Source organism: Homo sapiens, chromosome 3, assembly GCF_000001405.40.
Source record: "Homo sapiens chromosome 3, GRCh38.p14 Primary Assembly".
NCBI classification, from domain to species: Eukaryota; Metazoa; Chordata; class Mammalia; order Primates; family Hominidae; genus Homo; species Homo sapiens.
The window spans coordinates 57,085,076-57,105,072 of record NC_000003.12 but is presented as its reverse complement, the minus strand read 5'-3'; the positions used below and the strand labels follow the sequence as shown (position 1 = coordinate 57,105,072).

Here is a 19,997-nt window from a genome sequence, read left to right as displayed (position 1 = left end):
AAAAATCAGATCTAGGAGCCAAGCCACTGATAACTCAGTGGCTACTGATTTTACAAATAGGCCAAGGTTAAATAGAAACTAAGTAACCCAGCCTTTAAACTGGGAGTGGTCAGAAGAGTGGAAACCGTTTCATGGATGTTCACAGGACTGTCTGATTGCCTCTGTGGATACCAAGAAAGTTTTTGGTCGTGGTGGCAAAGCCCAGTACCTCCTTAGACATGCTCCTGTGTATGTCAGGTTCTGTCATAGTTTGCTCTCCTTGCTGGCTCTCATCTCTATCAAGGTCTTTGACCTCCTGCTCATGTTAAAATTATGGCAAATAAAATATGTATAAACACAGACTGGTAATTTCTTTCCTCACCCTTTTATTAAGTAAAGGTTGTTCAAACCAGTTTCTTTGTCTTCAAATCAAATATTCCTGCTGAGGGTGCCACCAGCTAAGCATAGACTATGGCAAGGGTCCTGGGCTGTCCTGGGCCTTTTATCAAAGGGAAGTTCAGATAACATGTGGCAGATAAACACAGTTGCTTTTCGATCTAATCACATTTTCTGAAAACTGTGGTTGAGACTGGTGGCAAGTCTCCTTCAGCTCTGGGGGAGAAGAGGTGTCCTGAAGACCTTTGCCCAAGAAGTGAGTTTTTAAAGTGTTCTTTGGTCTGTTGCAGGAGCAAACTACAGAGACGACCAGCTGCCTCCTTCAAAATGTTTCTCCAGGGGATTATATAATTGAGGTATGCATAACACAAGAAAGCCCTATTAATGCTATAGAATGAACCCAGTTCATATAGAATTCCAACTGTTTACAACACTAAAATTTCAAGCTATTGAAGGTGTGCACAGTTATATTTTTATATGGTTCTTAACATGCTTTTAAAAAAAGTTTATATATAATTGATTTTTGATCTCTTCATTAAATATTTCAAACAAATATTTTTATGTAATCATATGGTCCATATATAACCATGGTTTAAAATCTCTAGTATTCCTTAATACTACAAAGATATATTTTTAAGATTTTAGCTTAAATTTTTTTTGTTTTAGTATGAAAACAGCAAAATAAGTTATGCCCATTTTGCCTATACTTCTCTAAGTTTCTGTTGCTATTCTTCTATGTATGTATAAATGAATTCTAAACACCACTTCAAAGAACATGTAAATGTAATGTTTCAGTGAAACCCCGTCTCTTCTAAAAATACAAAAATTAGCTGGGCGTGGTGGTGGGCGCCTGTAATCCCAGCTACTCAGGAGGCTGAGGCAGGAGCATCACTTGAAACTGGAAGGTGGAGGTTGCAGTGAGCTGAAATTGCGCCACTGCACTCCAGCCTGGGTGAAAGAGTGAAACTCCCTCTCAAAAAAAAAAGTAATGTTTCATTTCCTTTTTAAGATTACCTTTTCCTGTATCAAATTGGTACTACAAATAATAAGAGTATAAGGAAAATAGAAAAGGAAATTAACAATTTGTCCATAGTGCCACCATTCAAAGACAACCAACATGTCTTAACATTTTGGTAGAAACACCTAGTTCTTGCACTCCTTGGAAGCAGTGTGTGGTTTTTGACTGATACACCTTCTTAAAGCATTAATGGAGGCCCAGTAAAATCAGTGGAAGGATGCCAGTTTAATTGAGCATTATTAGAACGTGGGACTCACCAGCTGACTTCTTCAATGAATACACAGCCTTTTGATTAATAAAAGAAAACATGATGAACTTAGAGTTTCGAGTTGGTAAAGCAGAGATGAACCTGAGTACACATGATGCCTAGTCTCAGCCATTCTTTTCCAAAACTCAGCCATTCTCCACTGCTTGCTTCCCACCCCTTCCCGCACTGCCCACTGATGGAAAAGATGAATGAAATTACCATTTTTTTCCACTTACCTGGTATATATCACTTTAAAAAAAAATAATGCAGCATCCTCTGTTTTGCAGCTGGTGGATGACACTAACACAACAAGAAAAGTGATGCATTATGCCTTAAAGCCAGGTAGGTGCTTTTTTGTTTGAAATTTGGCTCTAGACTACTATAGACCAAGGTATGTGATACTCTCTGTACTTCATGATTTACAGAAACAAAACAAAATTTGGCTCCTCTCTCTTAAATGATGTTCCATCAAATCTGACTTTTCTTCCATTCTAATGTTTATAACCTGGAAGATTAAAGCCAGTTTGGTGTGTGTAGCTCGGACTAGATAAATAGTCAATTGTCCTCTGAAGAAAAGTGGTGGGAGGGGAGATTTCCTTAGGCAAAATTCTCACTCAAAGGTATTTTATGTCCCAGCCTGACTCTTAACTGTTGAATTGTTCTTTGCAACTCTTTAAATATGAACCTTTGAATCCTTTTTAAATCACCAAACCACACTAGAGAAAGGTGGTTGCATGGTCCTAGAACCTGTTATGCGGCTTATGTTTAAAAAGAAAAAAAGTTGTTTCTCTTTGAACCTTTACACTGCTTAAGTTTAAAAACTTTCCCTTTGAAATTTCCCAGTGCACTCCCCGTGGGCCGGGCCCATCAGAGCCGTGGCCATCACAGTGCCACTGGTAGTCATATCGGCATTCGCGACGCTCTTCACTGTGATGTGCCGCAAGAAGCAACAAGGTATCTCTTTGTGTGCTGTGTCTCCCCACAACAAGGGGCAGGCCAGGGGGTGCTGCCAAGAGAAAGAGAGACTGGGAGTACCTGGGTCCTCCAGGATGGCGCCTGGGAAGCCTCATAGCTCCTACTATTCAGTTCCCAGAATTAAAATATTTGGCTTTTAACCTCAGGAGCCACTAAAAAAAACAGGTATCATTATATATCTGTTTCTTGGGACAGGGTCTCGCTCTGTTGCCCAGGCTAGAGTGCAGTGGCACAGTCATAGCTCACTGCAGGCTCGACTTCCCAGGCTTAGGCCATCCTCCCACTTCAGCCCCCTGAGGTAGCTGGGGACTACAGGCATGCACCACCATGCCTGGCTAATTTTAAAAAAAAATTTTTTTTGTAGTCATGGGGTCTCACTATGTTGCCTAGGCTGGTCTTGAACTCCTAAGCTCAAGCATTCCTCCTGCCTCAGCCTCCCTCTCATGCTGGGATTACAGGCATGAGACACTGCATCTGGCCCATAATTCTATTTTCAATGATAGGAGAGTAAATTCAGGGTCATAAAGGAAGCCTGAAGTATAAGTAAGGATATAGGTAGGGCTTGGTCATTTACAAAAGTCACCATGAGACAGCCTTCTGAGGAGTTGGAAATGATCCATAGCTTGGTCTGGGTGAGGATTACACAGTTATATACTTCCATAAAAATTCACTGAGATGTACACTTAAGATTTATGTACTTTACTTTTGTAAATTTTACATCGATAAAAACTTTTAAAAAAAATCAGCTCTGCCTGTGCTTAATTGGTCTACTAGGTGCACTTGGCTGCAAGAGCCAGTTCTGGGCACTCTGCTAACTAAGGTAGCGCTCTGCTAACCAGGGTGACCCCTGCAGCATTTCTTAGTTTATCCAAGATCAATTTCAGGTAAAGAACAATTTTTGACCATTCGTTGCTCCACTGCGGAAATCAGCTGTCCCATTCCAAGTGATGATCAGAGGGGGCTGATGGAGTTGGGGAATGGGACTGCTCTAGGTAGACGTGTTCTTTCTTGAAGATAGCACTGGGTTTCAATTCTTAGGAAATAGAACAAAGCGTTGCTTGCAAGTATCAACCTTATCTTCTTTTCCAATTTAGAAAATATATATTCACATTTAGATGAAGAGAGCTCTGAGTCTTCCACATACACTGCAGCACTCCCAAGAGAGAGGCTCCGGCCGCGGCCGAAGGTCTTTCTCTGCTATTCCAGTAAAGATGGCCAGAATCACATGAATGTCGTCCAGTGTTTCGCCTACTTCCTCCAGGACTTCTGTGGCTGTGAGGTGCGGAATCTAAAGTTCCTTCTCCTACCCTGGCCAGGACACTTGCCCTGTACTCTCTCCCCGCTGCCTTCTCCTCTCTTCTGGGCCTCCTGTGGTGACACCTGCCCTTGACTAGTGCCACAGCTTTCAAACTGGGGATAGTCTCGCACTCTTTTTTCAGTCTGTCTTACCCATCACCAGCACTAAATATTTCATAATACTTAGTTCTAACTCTGACAAACTCCTGCTCTAAAGCTTTGAGTGGCACCCACCTGGCAGGAAGTTTTGTAAGCATTAAGAAGACCAGTAGCTTCCGTGGAAACATGCAATTGGAGTTGAGGGGTGTCACTCATGACATCCTAGTGAGCATGTTCAGGACAGAAGCCCCACTTGGAGAGTCAAAGAGAGAGTGGCAAGTAAAGCAGTGAGTTCGCACAATTGTTTGGAGGAGTTCTGCTGAGAAGGGGAATGAAGGACGGGGCTGCCATTAGAGGGGATCTTGAGGTCCAGGGAGAAGTGATAAACGAAGGGCTCTGTGAAGCTGTTTGACCATTGACTGGTGGAATCATAGACAGGGAGAAACTCATGATGCAGGAGACGGCACTGGCCAGAGAGAACAGGGAGGTAGGAAGGGAGCACTCCCAGAAAACAATATTTTGTCAAGCACTGAAATGATCTGCTCTGGTTTCTTAGCTGTTCTCTTGAGTTATTAATATCTTATTAATATGCTTTTCTATAATGTCAGAATGTACATTTTTAGAGTGAAGTCTGAAACTCTCATGCAAGACATACCCTGTTTCTTGAAAATGCAAGAACTGTACAATAACTGTGTGATTGGAAGTTGTTTTTGCTTTGAAACTGCCCATTGGCATGTTTTTCAGAATCTCTCCATGTGGTGAGGCTGCCCCCTAGTGTCAACATAACATACTACGCTAGCCTAGTTTCCCTCTGCATGAAAGCGTGAGGTTGGTGGATCAGCACGTGCTGAAAAATAACTACACTCTAGCCAATGGCACACAGTTTTCAGATACCACGGGCAACCAAGTTTGCTCTACTTCACAAGTATTTAGCCTCTGGGGAAAACGCTCTTCCAGTTATTAGTGTAATAGTTATTGTAGAAAATTTGGAACTAGAAAAGGATGATAAATAAAACATTGTCTGGAATCCCAAACTGATTAAGGAAAATCTTAGAAAGAGGAACTCATATTTCATGTGTGGTTTATTTCCTTCCAGTCTTTTTCCATATAGGTGAACTCACACGTACAGTTTTGCCTTTGGGGCTGATTGAAATGATTTTTTGCAGTCTCTTAATAATTTTTTACACTATTAGTAGTTATATGTCAACTGCAATTTTAAATAGCTACATGATCCTCCATATTGATTTGCCATAACTGAGTTAATACAAATATTAAACATCTCAGTGGTTCAATATTGTCCCATTTGTGATGATTTCCCAAGAAAGATGCCTGGAAATGGAATTGCTGGGTCAAAGATAGAAACATTTAAAAAATGCTTGGTATATACTCCCACTGAGCTTTTAGCATGTGTAATGTTAACAAGAATTAAGGAAAGTATAAGACAATTCAGGGTTATTTTCAGCAAGTGGATGGATGTTGGGGCTTTTTCCCCATTGGTAACATCTTAGAGCAGAAGAGGAGAACAAAGTCGTTTCAGAATGCCCTTCCCTGTAAGATAGTGTGGCTGCTGTGTTTCGTCATAGCCATTGGGAATTAATAACTACAGAAGGAAAGACATCAACACAATAACCAAGAGATGTTTCTGGTAGAATTAGGTAAAAGTGGTCTGAGAAGGTGAAGTCCTCTAAGGGGCCACACATGTCTGATTTTTCTCTCCTTTGTCAGCCACGCCCACAGTCTCTCTACCAGACCGCCTTTGGGGGTAAAGCTTTGTCAATTACCAGCCTTGTAGAGATGTAGCCTTGTATACCTGTGTGAAGCCATAGAGGAAGGTGCTAGCCAGTCCTGAGTGAGTTACTCAGAATGACCATGTTAATGCAGTTCACTAGCCTCCTCTCCAGCCATGGACCAACTAGTAAACAACATAGGTGAGCCTGAGGCTATGAGAGTGTCGAGATAGGTCCCCTTTGTCAGTCACTGTCTGGATGTGAGTCACCTATAATTGTGGGTGACTGGCATCCAGGCCTGAGCCCCATCTCCCAGCTCACTTTGGAGTCACTCATCCACATCCTCCTCTCAGAGCCTGCCAGCCTTCTCTCCAGAATCTGCCCCTCCAATCTAGGCACCTCACTCACCAGATCAACCAACCTCAGTTTCTCTGTCCTGTGCTCTCTACCACCTGTTGCTTCCTTGAGGATATCCTATGTAGGGTGTGACTTGGGCAAGGTGCCAAAAGCACTGCGCTTCTGTCCCCTCACTTGTAGGGCAGGAGTGGTAATGACTCCATGTGATACAAAAATGGATGGATGGCAAGTTTTTGCAGAGGGACTAGGGTGTGACCATCACCCACGGAACTTTAGCTGTTCCTTGGTATGGTGTAACCTGGAGCCTGCACATAGCTGTGCTAATAAGGGTTAAGGGGCAGATGAGATGGCCTCCTTCTGACATTTCCCTTCCTGTTACTCACTTCCCGAGCCTCTTCCCGAGCCTTCTGTATGGGTGAGGTGCCTTGTTCTCTTTCCAGGTGGCTCTGGACCTGTGGGAAGACTTCAGCCTCTGTAGAGAAGGGCAGAGAGAATGGGTCATCCAGAAGATCCACGAGTCCCAGTTCATCATTGTGGTTTGTTCCAAAGGTATGAAGTACTTTGTGGACAAGAAGAACTACAAACACAAAGGAGGTGGCCGAGGCTCGGGGAAAGGAGAGCTCTTCCTGGTGGCGGTGTCAGCCATTGCCGAAAAGCTCCGCCAGGCCAAGCAGAGTTCGTCCGCGGCGCTCAGCAAGTTTATCGCCGTCTACTTTGATTATTCCTGCGAGGGAGACGTCCCCGGTATCCTAGACCTGAGTACCAAGTACAGACTCATGGACAATCTTCCTCAGCTCTGTTCCCACTTGCACTCCCGAGACCACGGCCTCCAGGAGCCGGGGCAGCACACGCGACAGGGCAGCAGAAGGAACTACTTCCGGAGCAAGTCAGGCCGGTCCCTATACGTCGCCATTTGCAACATGCACCAGTTTATTGACGAGGAGCCCGACTGGTTCGAAAAGCAGTTCGTTCCCTTCCATCCTCCTCCACTGCGCTACCGGGAGCCAGTCTTGGAGAAATTTGATTCGGGCTTGGTTTTAAATGATGTCATGTGCAAACCAGGGCCTGAGAGTGACTTCTGCCTAAAGGTAGAGGCGGCTGTTCTTGGGGCAACCGGACCAGCCGACTCCCAGCACGAGAGTCAGCATGGGGGCCTGGACCAAGACGGGGAGGCCCGGCCTGCCCTTGACGGTAGCGCCGCCCTGCAACCCCTGCTGCACACGGTGAAAGCCGGCAGCCCCTCGGACATGCCGCGGGACTCAGGCATCTATGACTCGTCTGTGCCCTCATCCGAGCTGTCTCTGCCACTGATGGAAGGACTCTCGACGGACCAGACAGAAACGTCTTCCCTGACGGAGAGCGTGTCCTCCTCTTCAGGCCTGGGTAAGGTGCCTTTGGGGCCGGGTCCTAACAGGCCGCAGCCTTTGACCATGCTTCTGAAATCAGTCAAAGCGTTTTTCCACTTTTGGTGCCAACTTATTGGGCAATGAAACCTGATGAGAACACAGCTCGTTTGGTAGTCTTGATTTATACCAGGTGATGGGAGTACTCACATGTTTGAGTTGCAGAAATACTAATGCTAAATTATAGTGAGCTGCCCAGACCCTGCAAGGGGTGTTGTGCCACATACAGACTATGCACTGTATCACTTTTCTAAACTCCAAAAACATCAGACACGAAAACACATTGGGCCCCAAGGGTCTTGGGTAACAGTTTGTGGATGCGTCTTTTTTAGACCTGTAATGTTCACACCCCCCGCCCCCATTGTCTTTAAAGCTACATTCATTGAGTCTGGGATTCATGGGTACAGTATTCTTTCTATCCTTCAGCATAGGGTCCCAGGTATGAGGGCTCTCTAGGAAGGCCTACTTCTGCAGGGAGCATCAGGTAGATGCCATCTCAGGCTGTCCCTTACCATGTCTGTAACTAGTTGGAGTCATGCATACAAACCCTTGACTTTTTTTTTTTTTTTTTGAGATGGAGTCTCACCCTGTCGCCCAGGCTGCAATGGCATGATCTCAGCTCACTGCAACCTCTGCCTCCTGGGTTCAAGCGATTCTTCTGCCCAGCCTCCCGAATAGCTGGGATTACAAGCATGCGCCACCATGCCCAGCTAAATTTTTGTATCTTTAGTAGAGATTGGGTTTCACCATGTTGGCCAGGCTGGTCTCAAACTCCTGACCTCAAGTGATCCCTCAACCTCGGCCTCCCAAAGTGCTGGGATTACAGGCGTGAGCCACTGCGCCCGGCCTAAACGCTTGACTTTTAAGAAATATCTCTTCCTTCCTCAACTAAGGGAACTAGAACCTGTTAGGAGGATGAGAGTGCCCCATCTTGAGTTGGTTGGGATTCTTGCCTCGTTTATACAGAGCCCATAGTCCAAACCCAGATCCAGTCACATTCTGCCATGAGCACCTGCCCAGCCCAGTGAAATGCAATGACAGTGTGACTCTGTACTCTCTTCTCTCCTTAGGTGAGGAGGAACCTCCTGCCCTTCCTTCCAAGCTCCTCTCTTCTGGGTCATGCAAAGCAGATCTTGGTTGCCGCAGCTACACTGATGAACTCCACGCGGTCGCCCCTTTGTAACAAAACGAAAGAGTCTAAGCATTGCCACTTTAGCTGCTGCCTCCCTCTGATTCCCCAGCTCATCTCCCTGGTTGCATGGCCCACTTGGAGCTGAGGTCTCATACAAGGATATTTGGAGTGAAATGCTGGCCAGTACTTGTTCTCCCTTGCCCCAACCCTTTACCGGATATCTTGACAAACTCTCCAATTTTCTAAAATGATATGGAGCTCTGAAAGGCATGTCCATAAGGTCTGACAACAGCTTGCCAAATTTGGTTAGTCCTTGGATCAGAGCCTGTTGTGGGAGGTAGGGAGGAAATATGTAAAGAAAAACAGGAAGATACCTGCACTAATCATTCAGACTTCATTGAGCTCTGCAAACTTTGCCTGTTTGCTATTGGCTACCTTGATTTGAAATGCTTTGTGAAAAAAGGCACTTTTAACATCATAGCCACAGAAATCAAGTGCCAGTCTATCTGGAATCCATGTTGTATTGCAGATAATGTTCTCATTTATTTTTGATGTAGAATTTACATTGCCATGGGTGTTAAATAAGCTTTGAGTCAAAAGTCAAGAAAGTGACTGAATATACAGTCACCTTTTATGAAATGAGTCTCTGTGTTACTGGGTGGCATGACTGATTGAGGTGAAGCTCACGGGGCCAGGCTGACCGTCTTGACCGTTCCACTTGAGATAGGTTGGTCATCGTGCAGAAGGCCCCAGGACCTCAGCACACACAGCCTCCTCTTGGTCTGAGTAGGCATCATGTGGGGGCCAGATCTGCCTGCTGTTTCCATGGGTTACATTTACTGTGCTGTATCTCAGATGTTGGTGTCTGGAAGTTTATTCTTAAGAGACTGCTACCCAGCTGGTCTGTATTATTGGAAGTTGCAGTTCGTGCTTTGGTTGGCCTTCTGGTCTAAAGCTGTGTCCTGAATATTAGGGATCACAATTCACTGAAATACAGCAGTGTGTGGAGGTGATGGCCAGTTAATCTGCTGAACTGGTTTTGACTAATGACAAACCTCTTTTTAAGATGGTAGAATGGAGGTGATAGTCACAAAAGTAAATGTTCCATTTTTATGAATGACTTTCTACAGAGTTTCTATTTCTAAAGAAAAAACAATTGTTCACATCCCATCTGATGATTAGCATGTGTGTAATGAATGCTGTCTTGGTCTCCCCTGTGGAAACCCTTCTCCCTGTGCCTTAGAGCAGGTGTGTACATCTCTCACTACCTTTCTCATGGGTGCTGTTAGATTTTGGCACCCGTTTTCTCAGCATTCAGCCCAGGGAATGTGGTTTTCACTTCTTCGTCAGATAAGACCAACATGAAGGGGTATGTTGAGAAACATCCTGAGGCAAGGTGGGAGGTGGGATGGGGCAGGACTTTCCCTTCCAAGCACATGCATGGCAGGTGGGGAAAGGGGGGCTTGCACCCCTGCTGGAAAGAAAAGGTTTGTGTATATTTCTGATGCAAATGTCATACTCACTGCTCTGTAAAGGCAGCTGGCAGCTTTTTGGGAAAAGAACGTGCTCGTCTGTTCTCTGGCATCAAGTTTCTTGCAGCTGCTCTGAGGGAGAGACAGTGAGCTGCAAGACTGCCTCCCCATAACAACAGGCAACTCAGAGAAGAGTCATTTTATGTTGTTCCTATGGAATCTGGAATGAGTGCAGAGCTCCTACCCACACATGACTGCCCCGCCATTTCATCCTAGGCATTCTGTGAAGGAGATTGGTTAGTCCAAACTTGCTAACATACGAAAATTCACTTGGAACATGATGAGAGATTTCTTATTGAGGCCAAGAGATGTTTCCTGTCCCAGAGGAACCATTAGGAGTCGCTTTTAGGGTATTCAGCTTTGTTCATGAAATAAGGCATCTCTGAGAAAGTGGCCCCAGGGAGAGAATGGAGGACTGGGAGGAGAAGCATTAACTGAGCTCCAAGGGTGTGTGGGCAGAGAGCTTGCTATGTGAACTCACTCCTTAAGAAAATGGAAGAGAAAAAGAGAGTGCTAGTTAAAAAATCGGGATGTTTTAGTTTGGATTTAGGGTTTTGATACTTATGTTGAAATACTAATGTTTCTGATCAATAAAATCAAACTCTTAATATACCGAGTAATGAAACCATAGTGTGATTGCCTCAGAATAAATTGAGAAGTCCAACTTCCTAGTTTTGTTTAATTAGTTTCACTTTTTCTACTCTCCCCAGTATGCTAGAAATGGGAATCGTTGCCCTGCAGATTACGGCAAAACATCTGTTTTAAGCAAAGCTGCATTTTTTGACTCAGAAATTGTCCCAGACGGTGGATATAAGATGAAATTCAGAAAAACGTTCTGCCAAGTCACAGGCTTTTAGATATTATGGAAACAAGAAATGGAAAACAGGATGATCTCCATGAGAGGCCTTGATCCTGAGAGTAAAAGGCTTGTGTAGATAGGTTAGACAACGTCCTCTAGAAAAGAGACCAGGGATAAGTCCAGGTTTCCAGGAAAACCAAGAAGCCTGCGGGTAGCTGAAGGTAGAGTGCTAGTTGTTCATCTTAACTTACCAATGAGCTACAGAAAGGACTTAGCATCTGATGTCATCAGCTTTGCCAGGAGAGTGATCAAGGAGGTTAAAGCTCAGGTAAAGGTGTGCCTTCTCAGAGATTGGCTACAAGCAACAGAGACCACCTCAACAGAGACCACCTCAACAGACTCAGCCCAGCCATACAAGGTGCCAAAGCTCCTCCAGAGGGCTGTCTTGGGCCTTTGAGGCAATTGATCTCCAGAAAGAGTCAGAAGTCATTCCAGTCCAGGCCCAGGTATTCAGATGGTGACCCAGCCAGATAATAGTATCTTGAGCAAATAATAGTATCTTGAGTGCAAATAAGCAGGAAGACTGTCCTTCAAAAAATGTGGGGTTACATGATTTTCAGAGCCTTTTTTTCAGAGTTGAGCATCTTTTCTTTTAAAAGAAATAAGGGGCAAGAGGACCAATTTTATTCCTTGAGGAAAAATGACACACCCTTCTCCCAAAAGAAAGAAAACTCTCTGGCCCCCCAACTTCAACACTAATTTGGCTCCCTGAAGAAGAGAGAAAATATTATTTCTGTCTTTATTGAAGAGAAATGGGCAATGCCAATGTGAAGGTTACTAGTCTTTTTTATTTTCTATTGGTGAAGACTACTACTGCTCTTATTTAGCAGATCTTATACCTTCAGTGGTCACCAGTATAGCAGGTGAGGTATAAGGAAAACAGCAGTGTGATGATAAATGGTAATTAATATACTTTGTCTGTGTCAGCAATAGGGAATGGTGGGGACTGTGGCAAACTGAAGCGCCCCTGTTCCACCCACAGTGGGTAATTTTCCAGTCGACTGTGGCCATGAAGTACTTCCTGATCTTCCCATTTTTCAAGAAAAGCTGACAATCTGGATTTTTATATGAAAAATTCTGATTTTAAAAAATATTGGCAACTAAGTTAAAATTCAAGTGAATTTAGACCCAGCAGAAGACATGGATGGACCTGATTTGGTCCACTGACTACCAGTTTGTTAACCTGTGCTTTATAAGATTTGAAGGAAAGGCATTCATGGTAATTACAGACGGTGCCACCAGAAAATGCTCTTGCTAAATGCAGCCAGTAGTTAGATTGCTTCTTTCTCCAGTCTCCCCCGCAAAGAAATTTGACGTGATTCTGAATGCACTGGACATGTCTTGATTGCGTCTTTACATTTCACAGTGTCTTAAAAGAAAGGCAAGCCAGTTGTTAATTTCAGAATCAGATTTATGCTCTCTCAATTTAAAAAATGCTGGGAACAATTTCATTTTTTTTTTTTTGAGATGGAGTCTTGCTCTGTTGCCCAGGCTGGAGTGCAGTGGCGTGATCTCGGCTCACTGCAAGCTCCACCTCCCGGGTTCACGCCATTCTCCTGCCTCAGCCTCCTGAGTAGCTGGGACTACAGGCGCCCACCACCACGCCTGGCTAATTTTTTTGTATTTTTAGTAGAGACGGGGTTTCACTGTGTTAGCCAGGATGATCTCGATCTCCTGACCTGGTGATCCGCTTGCCTCGGCCTCCCAAAGTGCTGGGATTACAGGCGTGAGCCACTGCGCCCGGCCTAACAATTTCATTTAAACTCCACAACCTAAAGGGCTTTGTTTATAGTTTTAGCTCTTGGCATAATTTTTTTCAGGTGGTGTGCAATTCTGAGCATAGGCCAAGACATGATTAGGAAAGCAGGCAGTTGTAGAGAGTAAGGCAAGGAACCTCCTAGCGTCCATTAGAGCCAGGTATTTGCATTATCTTCCGTTTTAAGTGGTCTGTGAATTGACTGTGTTTTGGAGGTGTGAAACAGTATACAGAGAAAAGCTTTTCCTGATACTGAGATATCAGTTAGGAGTCCAAATGGGGTGTTGGGTCATCCTTGCCATATCACCTCCTTTCCAGGCTCAGAGTGAAAATAGACAAAAGGAAATCTGACTGCAAGCCAGTGGCTTTGATTCCAGTTTCAGAGTTTAGGGACTAGGAGAGAGTTTAGATTATCTAGCATATTCTCCCCCTGGTGTCAGACAGGGCTGTGCCTGAATTATTCCAGACATATGGCTGTAGATGGTATTCTTTATTTTATAAGAAGGAGATTCTGTAACCTACCCTGCTGATCAGATAGTTCTTTGTATGTCTTAGAGAAATTCAAGCCAGCTTCCTTTTGTTCGGCTTGTAGTGGAGAAAGAACAGCTGGTCACCTTCCATGTATTCAAAAACCACAGTGAAGTCATCCCCCTGGTGTTTTTATTTCAGTGATAAATAATTCCACCCACTTAAACCATTCTTCATGGCTCTTGTTTTCCAGGGGCCTAATAATTTTCACTGCTGTAATGTTTCTCAGCTTCACACTTAGTTTAGTTGCCCAAACAATGTTGGTGCCTTACTCACATTGGTGCCTTGTGAAGACGAGGCTCAGGATGGGGATTATGGGGAAATTCTTGCACACCCAGCTCCTCTTACCACTTAAAAATATAATGGCACTTTCACAAAATGATATGTCACCTATATTCATTGAGAATTATTTGACTGCCACATTTTTCCCCTGATGATAGTCATCTATCATAACTTGTGTTTGTTTTCCTCCTGAGATCAAACACTTGGTGCTTATTCCTGATGTATACTCTGAGACCAGCTCTTACCTTCTGAGTGGCAGCTACCCCTCCCTCCCAATTTTAGATCCTATTTTTACACATCTCTATAGATATCACCTTTATTTCATGACTCACAATATTAAATGGTACAGACTTCAGTTTAACCACTGGTGTGGTAACAGCAGTAGTTGCTAAGTACCACCTTCCCATTGCTGTTTGAGGGCTAATTTGCAAAGACATTTGAATCTCCCAGTGAAGATGTCTGGGGAATTTTGGCCAGTTGTCTTCCCTCTTGCCCTTTTGTTCTTTAAAATTCAGCTTGGACCATAGACACCTCCAGGATCTTGTTTATGTTCTGCTCTCAATTGACCAAGCACTGCGTTTTGCACAATCAGAAGTCTCACAAAAGCAAACAGTTATGACTGCATATCTGATGTTTATATCCTATAAAATTTCAGGAAGATTCAGAGTCAATCTTCTATTTGTACATGATGTAGACAAAATTAGCTGCTCCAATTGTTAGACAAAAAATTGCCATTGGATTACACTAATGTGCTCATCTGTTGTTTTAAAAGTTTGGTATCAGGCGGGGCACGGTGGCTCACGCCTGTAATCCCAGCATTTTGGGAGGCCAAGGTGGGCGGATCACCTGAGGTCCAGAGTTCAAGACCAGCCTGACCAACATGGTGAAACCCTGTCTCTACTAAAAATACAAAATTAATCAGGCGTGGTTGTGTGTGCCTGTAATCCCAGCTACTCGAGAGGCTGAGGCAGGAGAATCGCTTGAATCCGGGAGGCAGAGGTTGCAGTGAGCTGAGATCACGCCATTGCACTCTAGCCTGGGCAACAAGAGCGAAACTCCGTCTCAACAACAACAACAAAAAGTTTGGTATGTTTCTCTCAAGAAAAAAGCATGGTGAGTCCAGACAGCAGCAAAAGCTTTTGTGAAAACCAATTGTGTTCATCTAGATAGTAAGTAACTCCTATTTTTACTGTTAATTTTTTAAAAGAGAATTTTTCCCTGTGGAAACTCCCTGTTAGTACGTCCTAGGGGAGAAAGCCTGTGGAATATGGTGGTTATTGATGGCGTTGCCTTTGTTTCATCTTTGAGTTTGCCCTTTGTGGGATCTAGTGGGATAATGAGCACTGACAGAACTCTTAACAGCGTGCTGTATTTTTGACATTGAAAATGTTAATGACTTGATTTGTACATAACTCTGTAACTAGGTGAAAGTAGATCACAGCTGACATTTACAAAATGTTTTTGTACCTTAGAATTTCTGCATTAAATAAAATGTTTTGTTTTAAGGTTGTAGTGGCTCATTTTTCAGCACATCTTTCTTGTTTCCTGACTGTCTGGGGTTCCCAGCCCAGTTTTCAGAGGGCTCTGCCTCAGGACGAGGAGGCCAGGGGTGGCCAGTCTTCCTTGCCCTTTAGAGAACAGGACCCTGCTGCCCTAGACCTTCAGCTCGGCTCCACAGGCAATCAGTCGCCCATTACCCGTGTGGCATCAGGAGGCTTCCCTGTTGCAACAGGGTTACTTATGTCAGAAAGAAATTTGACTTCTCAGAACAAATGGACTTTCTTTTTAGAAATTTGAAAAAAGCCACTGAGATTTGGGGGCTGCACGCAAATTTTTTTTGTCACTCAGAAAAAGAGATGCCTGCTCAGTCTTCCATGGACATCCTCCCCTCCTGTGACCCCCATGCTCTGTGAGTTAACTTCTTGGTGTCCATCACCTTCAGGGTCAGGTCCCAGCTCTGCTGAATTTTTTTTTTTTTTTTTTAAAGAGGTAGGCTCTCCCTAATTTGCCCAGGCTGCTCTTGAGCTCCTGAGCTCAGGCGATCCTCCCGTCTCAGTCTCCCAAAGTGCTGGGACTACAGGTGTGAGCCACTATGCCTGGCCTCTGCTACTGTTGCTGTGCCCCAGTGACTGTCAGACTCTGCCCCTCAGCCTCTCACCCGTAAAGAGGTCCTACTTTAGAGGGCAGTGAATTAAACTGCATGGTGAATGTAAAGTGCCACCTGCGCATTCCTGGCTCATAGTCCATGCTCAGTAAATGACAGTGTCCACAGGAGAACAGTGAGGGTTAACAAATAGCAAGGACATAGAATACAAGCTTTTGACCATTGCCCGAGCAGGATATAGTCTAAGTTTGGGGTCTTGGGACCATAATAGATTTTAAAAACTGGATCTTCCTTATTTACTTGTTCCTTCTCATACTTCACTGGGATGTTAATGTGCTCAGGGCCTACAACCTACTCTGGGGAACCCAAGGAAAACAGAAGGAGTGGTAAAAAACAAAACCCCCTCAAAGAAAACAGCTCTGAGGGAAGCACTGTTGTTTCTGAGAGGAGGAAATTCTCACACATTCTTGCCTCCTGACCTTCGCATAGCCTTCGTTTCTCCTGGGTAGAGTCACCCAGGAGGCTCCTTGTCATTTCTCCCATTGATTTCCTTTTCCCCCACACTCTGTCAATTCTTTTTAGTTCCAGGAGTGCTAAGTGCTTTACACACATCATCTCATTCATCTTCACGGCTGCTCTGTGAGGTGGCCAATCGTACTGTTCCCATTATACAGATGAGGAAACTGAGGCTCAGAGAGGCTATAACTGACTTGTGATCCCATAGCTGGCTAGTGGCAGAGCCAGGATATGAGCTGAGGCAAACCCTACCTAGACTGCTCAGGTAACCCCTTGGTAAAGGTCAAGCCAGCCAGGTAGGGATGGACTCAAAAATGTGTGGTCAAAGGCAATAGAGAGCTTTCCCGTAAAATGAGTGGCAGAGAGGAAGTGATGATTGCCAACCTCTGAATGTCAGTAGGGCTGGTTCCTGCTCTTAGTGCTCTTCATGTTTTTTCTCACCATGACCCCCTATGGGGGGTACTATCAGCAGCCTCAATTTTGAGATTCTGATGTCTAGAAATTCTATAGCTTTGCCAAGGGCACAAACAAGAAATTGGCAGCACTGGAGTTGAAGTCTGATTGAAGCATCACCACTCCTGATCAATAGGCTGCTCTGTCCCTCAGTAACAGTTTAAGCGGAAGGAAGAATCTTGAGTGACTTGGTTCCTTTCTCTTGCAAATTCTGAGTGTAAATCTGGTTCAGAGTTGAAGCAAATGGATCTCGTTAGGCAGATACTGCAATACATGAATTTCTCTTTCCTTTTCTTTCATTAAAATAAAAGTTACAGCTGGGCTTGGCAGTGCGCACCTATAGACTCACCTACTTAGCAGGCTGAGGCCTCAAAAAGTACAAATAGTTCAGGCATGGTGACTTACACCTGTAATCTCAGCACTTTGGGAGGCCAAGACAGGAGAATCACTTCAGACCAGAAGTCTAAGACCAGCCTGGGCAACATAGCAAGACCCCATCTTTACAAAAAAATTTAAAAATTAGCTGGGCATGGTGGTGTGTGCTAGTAGTCCTAGGTATTCAGGAGGCTGAGGTGAAAGGATCACTTGAGCCCAGGAGTTTGAGGCTGCAGTGAACTATATGATCACACCACTTCACTGCAGCCTGGGCAACAGAGCAAGATCCTGTCTCAAAAAATTTTAAGTTAAAATTAAAAAGTTAAAAAAGAAAAAAAAAACATTGCAGCTAGTACTTTCTATTAATGTTCTCTTGGGACAGCATGAGAAGCCCTCATTTTTACCATGATATTAGAAAGCTCTCTGTTTTTACAGCTGCCTAGGGTTCTTGCAGTCCCCAACATCTGTGGGGCCCTGCCACTGGCTTTGCTTTGTTTTAGAAATACCAGTATTAGAGGAGCAAAGACCAGCTTCCTCTTACAGGCTCTAACTACAAAAAAAAAAAAAAAATTGTTGCTTTAGTTGAATAAGAACTACAGGTGATAAGCTAAGCAGGTGGAGGAGGGAGGAGACATAAAATCTATCTTTGCAGTCCTGGGCACAGTGGGTCCCCAATAAATGTGTTTCCCACTGCTCCCTCAGCATATTCTGTCCTCACTGTCCACAAGGAATGAAATCATAAGAGGCCCAAGAATAGGATAAGTTAGAGGATGCAATGAAGGGGAGAGATGGACACAAACACGGCATAAGAACTTTTGCAATGAGAAAATTCAAATGGGGCCCTTGGGATTAAAGAAAAGAAATGCAAGATCAGTGAGCTTGGCTCCCTGGCCTCTTTCTGGAAGGGACCTTGCACCATCTTTCACATTTATACATGCTACAACTGCCTTAACAGGGTTAATTCCAAAGTGTGTGCTGGGAAACAGACATAGTGATGGACATGGTACACAGTACTCCTGCCCTCCTGACTCCACCTCTTCCTATGTATAGAGTTGAGGGCAAGTCATCTAAGTGTTCTGAAACTCAGTTTCTTCATCTGTAAGATGGGCCTAATACTCACCACAAAGGGTTATTGTGAGGATTAAATGAGATGGAGTATATAAAGTACCCAAGGCTGTGCTCAGCAAATGCCAGGTACTTGGTGAATAGTAGCTATTAATTATATAATGGAAGAGCAGGTCTTGGGCTTTTTGGGGGCCATATCGGGATGGGTGGGAGACAGTTCCATGCCCACAAGGAACTTTAGGCCAAGTGCTTTGTCAGGTGATAAGTTGTATCATTTCTATCCCCTAAAAGAAAAGGGTGGGTCCATGCCTGGCTGTTGCAGAGGTGAGGGTTGAAGAGGAACTTAATTTGGCAAAATTAAGACATTAGCTCTGGGGTTCCCAATAGCTGACCACACATAGCCTGTGACAGTTGACTGTGCACCTTGAGATCTGCTGATGTTCCATTCCCCAGACTCCTTTTTTCCTGGTTGCCATTTAATCCTGATAGAGATACATTTTTCTGGACTTGCTGCTGTAAGGTCTCTGTGCCAGGCAGATGACCACTCTCCACTCTGAATGTGAACAAAGGCAGGGGTTGTTTCTCAAACCATCAGCACAAGGTCAGGGCAATTTCCCAAGTTTTAGAAATTAGTGGAGGGAGGTGGGAGGAGATCAAATAACAGTCTTCCAGAATGAGATGGCTCTGCCTGGTCTTTTTCACTCTTGCTGGTCAGAGACATTCTGGGGAGTGGGCAGACATCAGCCTCAAAACAAACCATAGACTTCCTACCAGGTTGGGCAAGGCCAGGCCAGAGGAAACTTGTAGAAAAGAAAGGCAGGAGCATGCCTGGCAGCTGAATGCAAATACAGTCAGGTCCTGCCTTTGGTTCTGTATCTCTGGAGGTAGATATGCTTCAGTATCTTGCACACCTGTGTATAATTGTGTGTTATTATTCATGAGATGAAAATTAGCATTGTGATTAAAGTTGAGGCAGGCTTTGGTCTGAGGCATCTTGAACTTAGATCTCAGTTTGCCATTTTCTGTGTTTCCCTAAGCAGGTGCCTTGCCCTGTTTAGGACTTATTTTCTCCATCTAGAAAACAGTTAATAATAGGGCCAGGCACAGTGGCTCATACCTGTAACCCCAGCACTTTGGGAGGCCGAGGTGGGCGGATCACCTGAGGTCAGGAGTTCGAGACCAGCCTGGCCAACATGTTGAAACCCCGTCTCTACTAAAAATACAAAAATCAGCTGGGCATGGTGGCATGTGCCTGTAGTCTCAGCGACTCAGGAGGCTGAGGTGGGAGGATCACTTGAGCCTGGGAAGTGGAGGTTGCAGTGAGCCGAGATCGCACCACTGCACTCCAGCCTGGGCGACAGAGCAAAACTCTGTCTCAAAACAACAAAACAAAACAAAAAAACAGTTAATAATTCAGTACCTAATGGGTCTATTTTGAGGCTGGGTGAAATTCTGGGCACAAAGGATGGCACGCAGAAAGCCCCTGTTCCTATAGGGATGAGTCATGGGGGCAGGTTAGGAGGTGTACAGTTACGAAATGGGATTTCTCCTGAATGTCTCCCTTGGCCCTGGCCTGGGTAGCTGATGGCGTAGCTAACTGAAATGGAATCCCTGCCTCCTGGAGGTCTCAGTTCCACAGGGCAGCTGGGAATGGTCTTCAAGGGAGATGGGTACTTGATCAGATGTCACTTTCTGCTGAAAACCACTAGTGGCCCTGGAAGTGAATACCGAATCTCTTATGTGATGCCTTGCTGACTTCTCCTCTCTGTGTCCCTTCTTTCTCTGATCATACCAGACTGTTGAAATTCCTCACTCCTGTGTTCCTGCCCCGGGTTCTTTGCATGTGCTGTTTCTTCTACCTGAATCACCCTTTCTCAGTCTCCATCCCTCCTTTGCAA

General features: G+C 44.6%; 1 protein-coding gene across 5 annotated transcripts in view, besides 1 other annotated feature; it reads left to right on the top strand.

The window, feature by feature from the left end:
• Positions 1 to 15,091, top strand: part of IL17RD (interleukin 17 receptor D) — an 80,336-nt gene extending 65,245 nt beyond the window's left edge. For all 5 annotated transcript variants that reach the window (NM_001318864.2, NM_017563.5, XM_047448369.1 and 2 more), the window contains 6 exons: positions 666 to 731; positions 1,928 to 1,982; positions 2,484 to 2,594; positions 3,710 to 3,894; positions 6,535 to 7,477; positions 8,568 to 15,091. In NM_001318864.2, the coding sequence (NP_001305793.1) occupies positions 666 to 731; positions 1,928 to 1,982; positions 2,484 to 2,594; positions 3,710 to 3,894; positions 6,535 to 7,477; positions 8,568 to 8,680 (1,473 nt within the window). In that variant the 3' untranslated portion in view covers positions 8,681 to 15,091. The remainder of the gene's footprint in view (positions 1 to 665; positions 732 to 1,927; positions 1,983 to 2,483; positions 2,595 to 3,709; positions 3,895 to 6,534; positions 7,478 to 8,567) is intronic.
• Positions 6,658 to 7,857: an enhancer, noted in NCBI's record as "BRD4-independent group 4 enhancer chr3:57131244-57132443 (GRCh37/hg19 assembly coordinates)". NCBI's record gives its function as "activates an origin of replication core promoter dependent on BRD2, P300/CBP, MED14 and CDK7 cofactors, and independent of BRD4, by STARR-seq in HCT116 cells {active_cell/tissue: HCT116}" and the evidence as "EXISTENCE:reporter gene assay evidence [ECO:0000049][PMID:35650434]".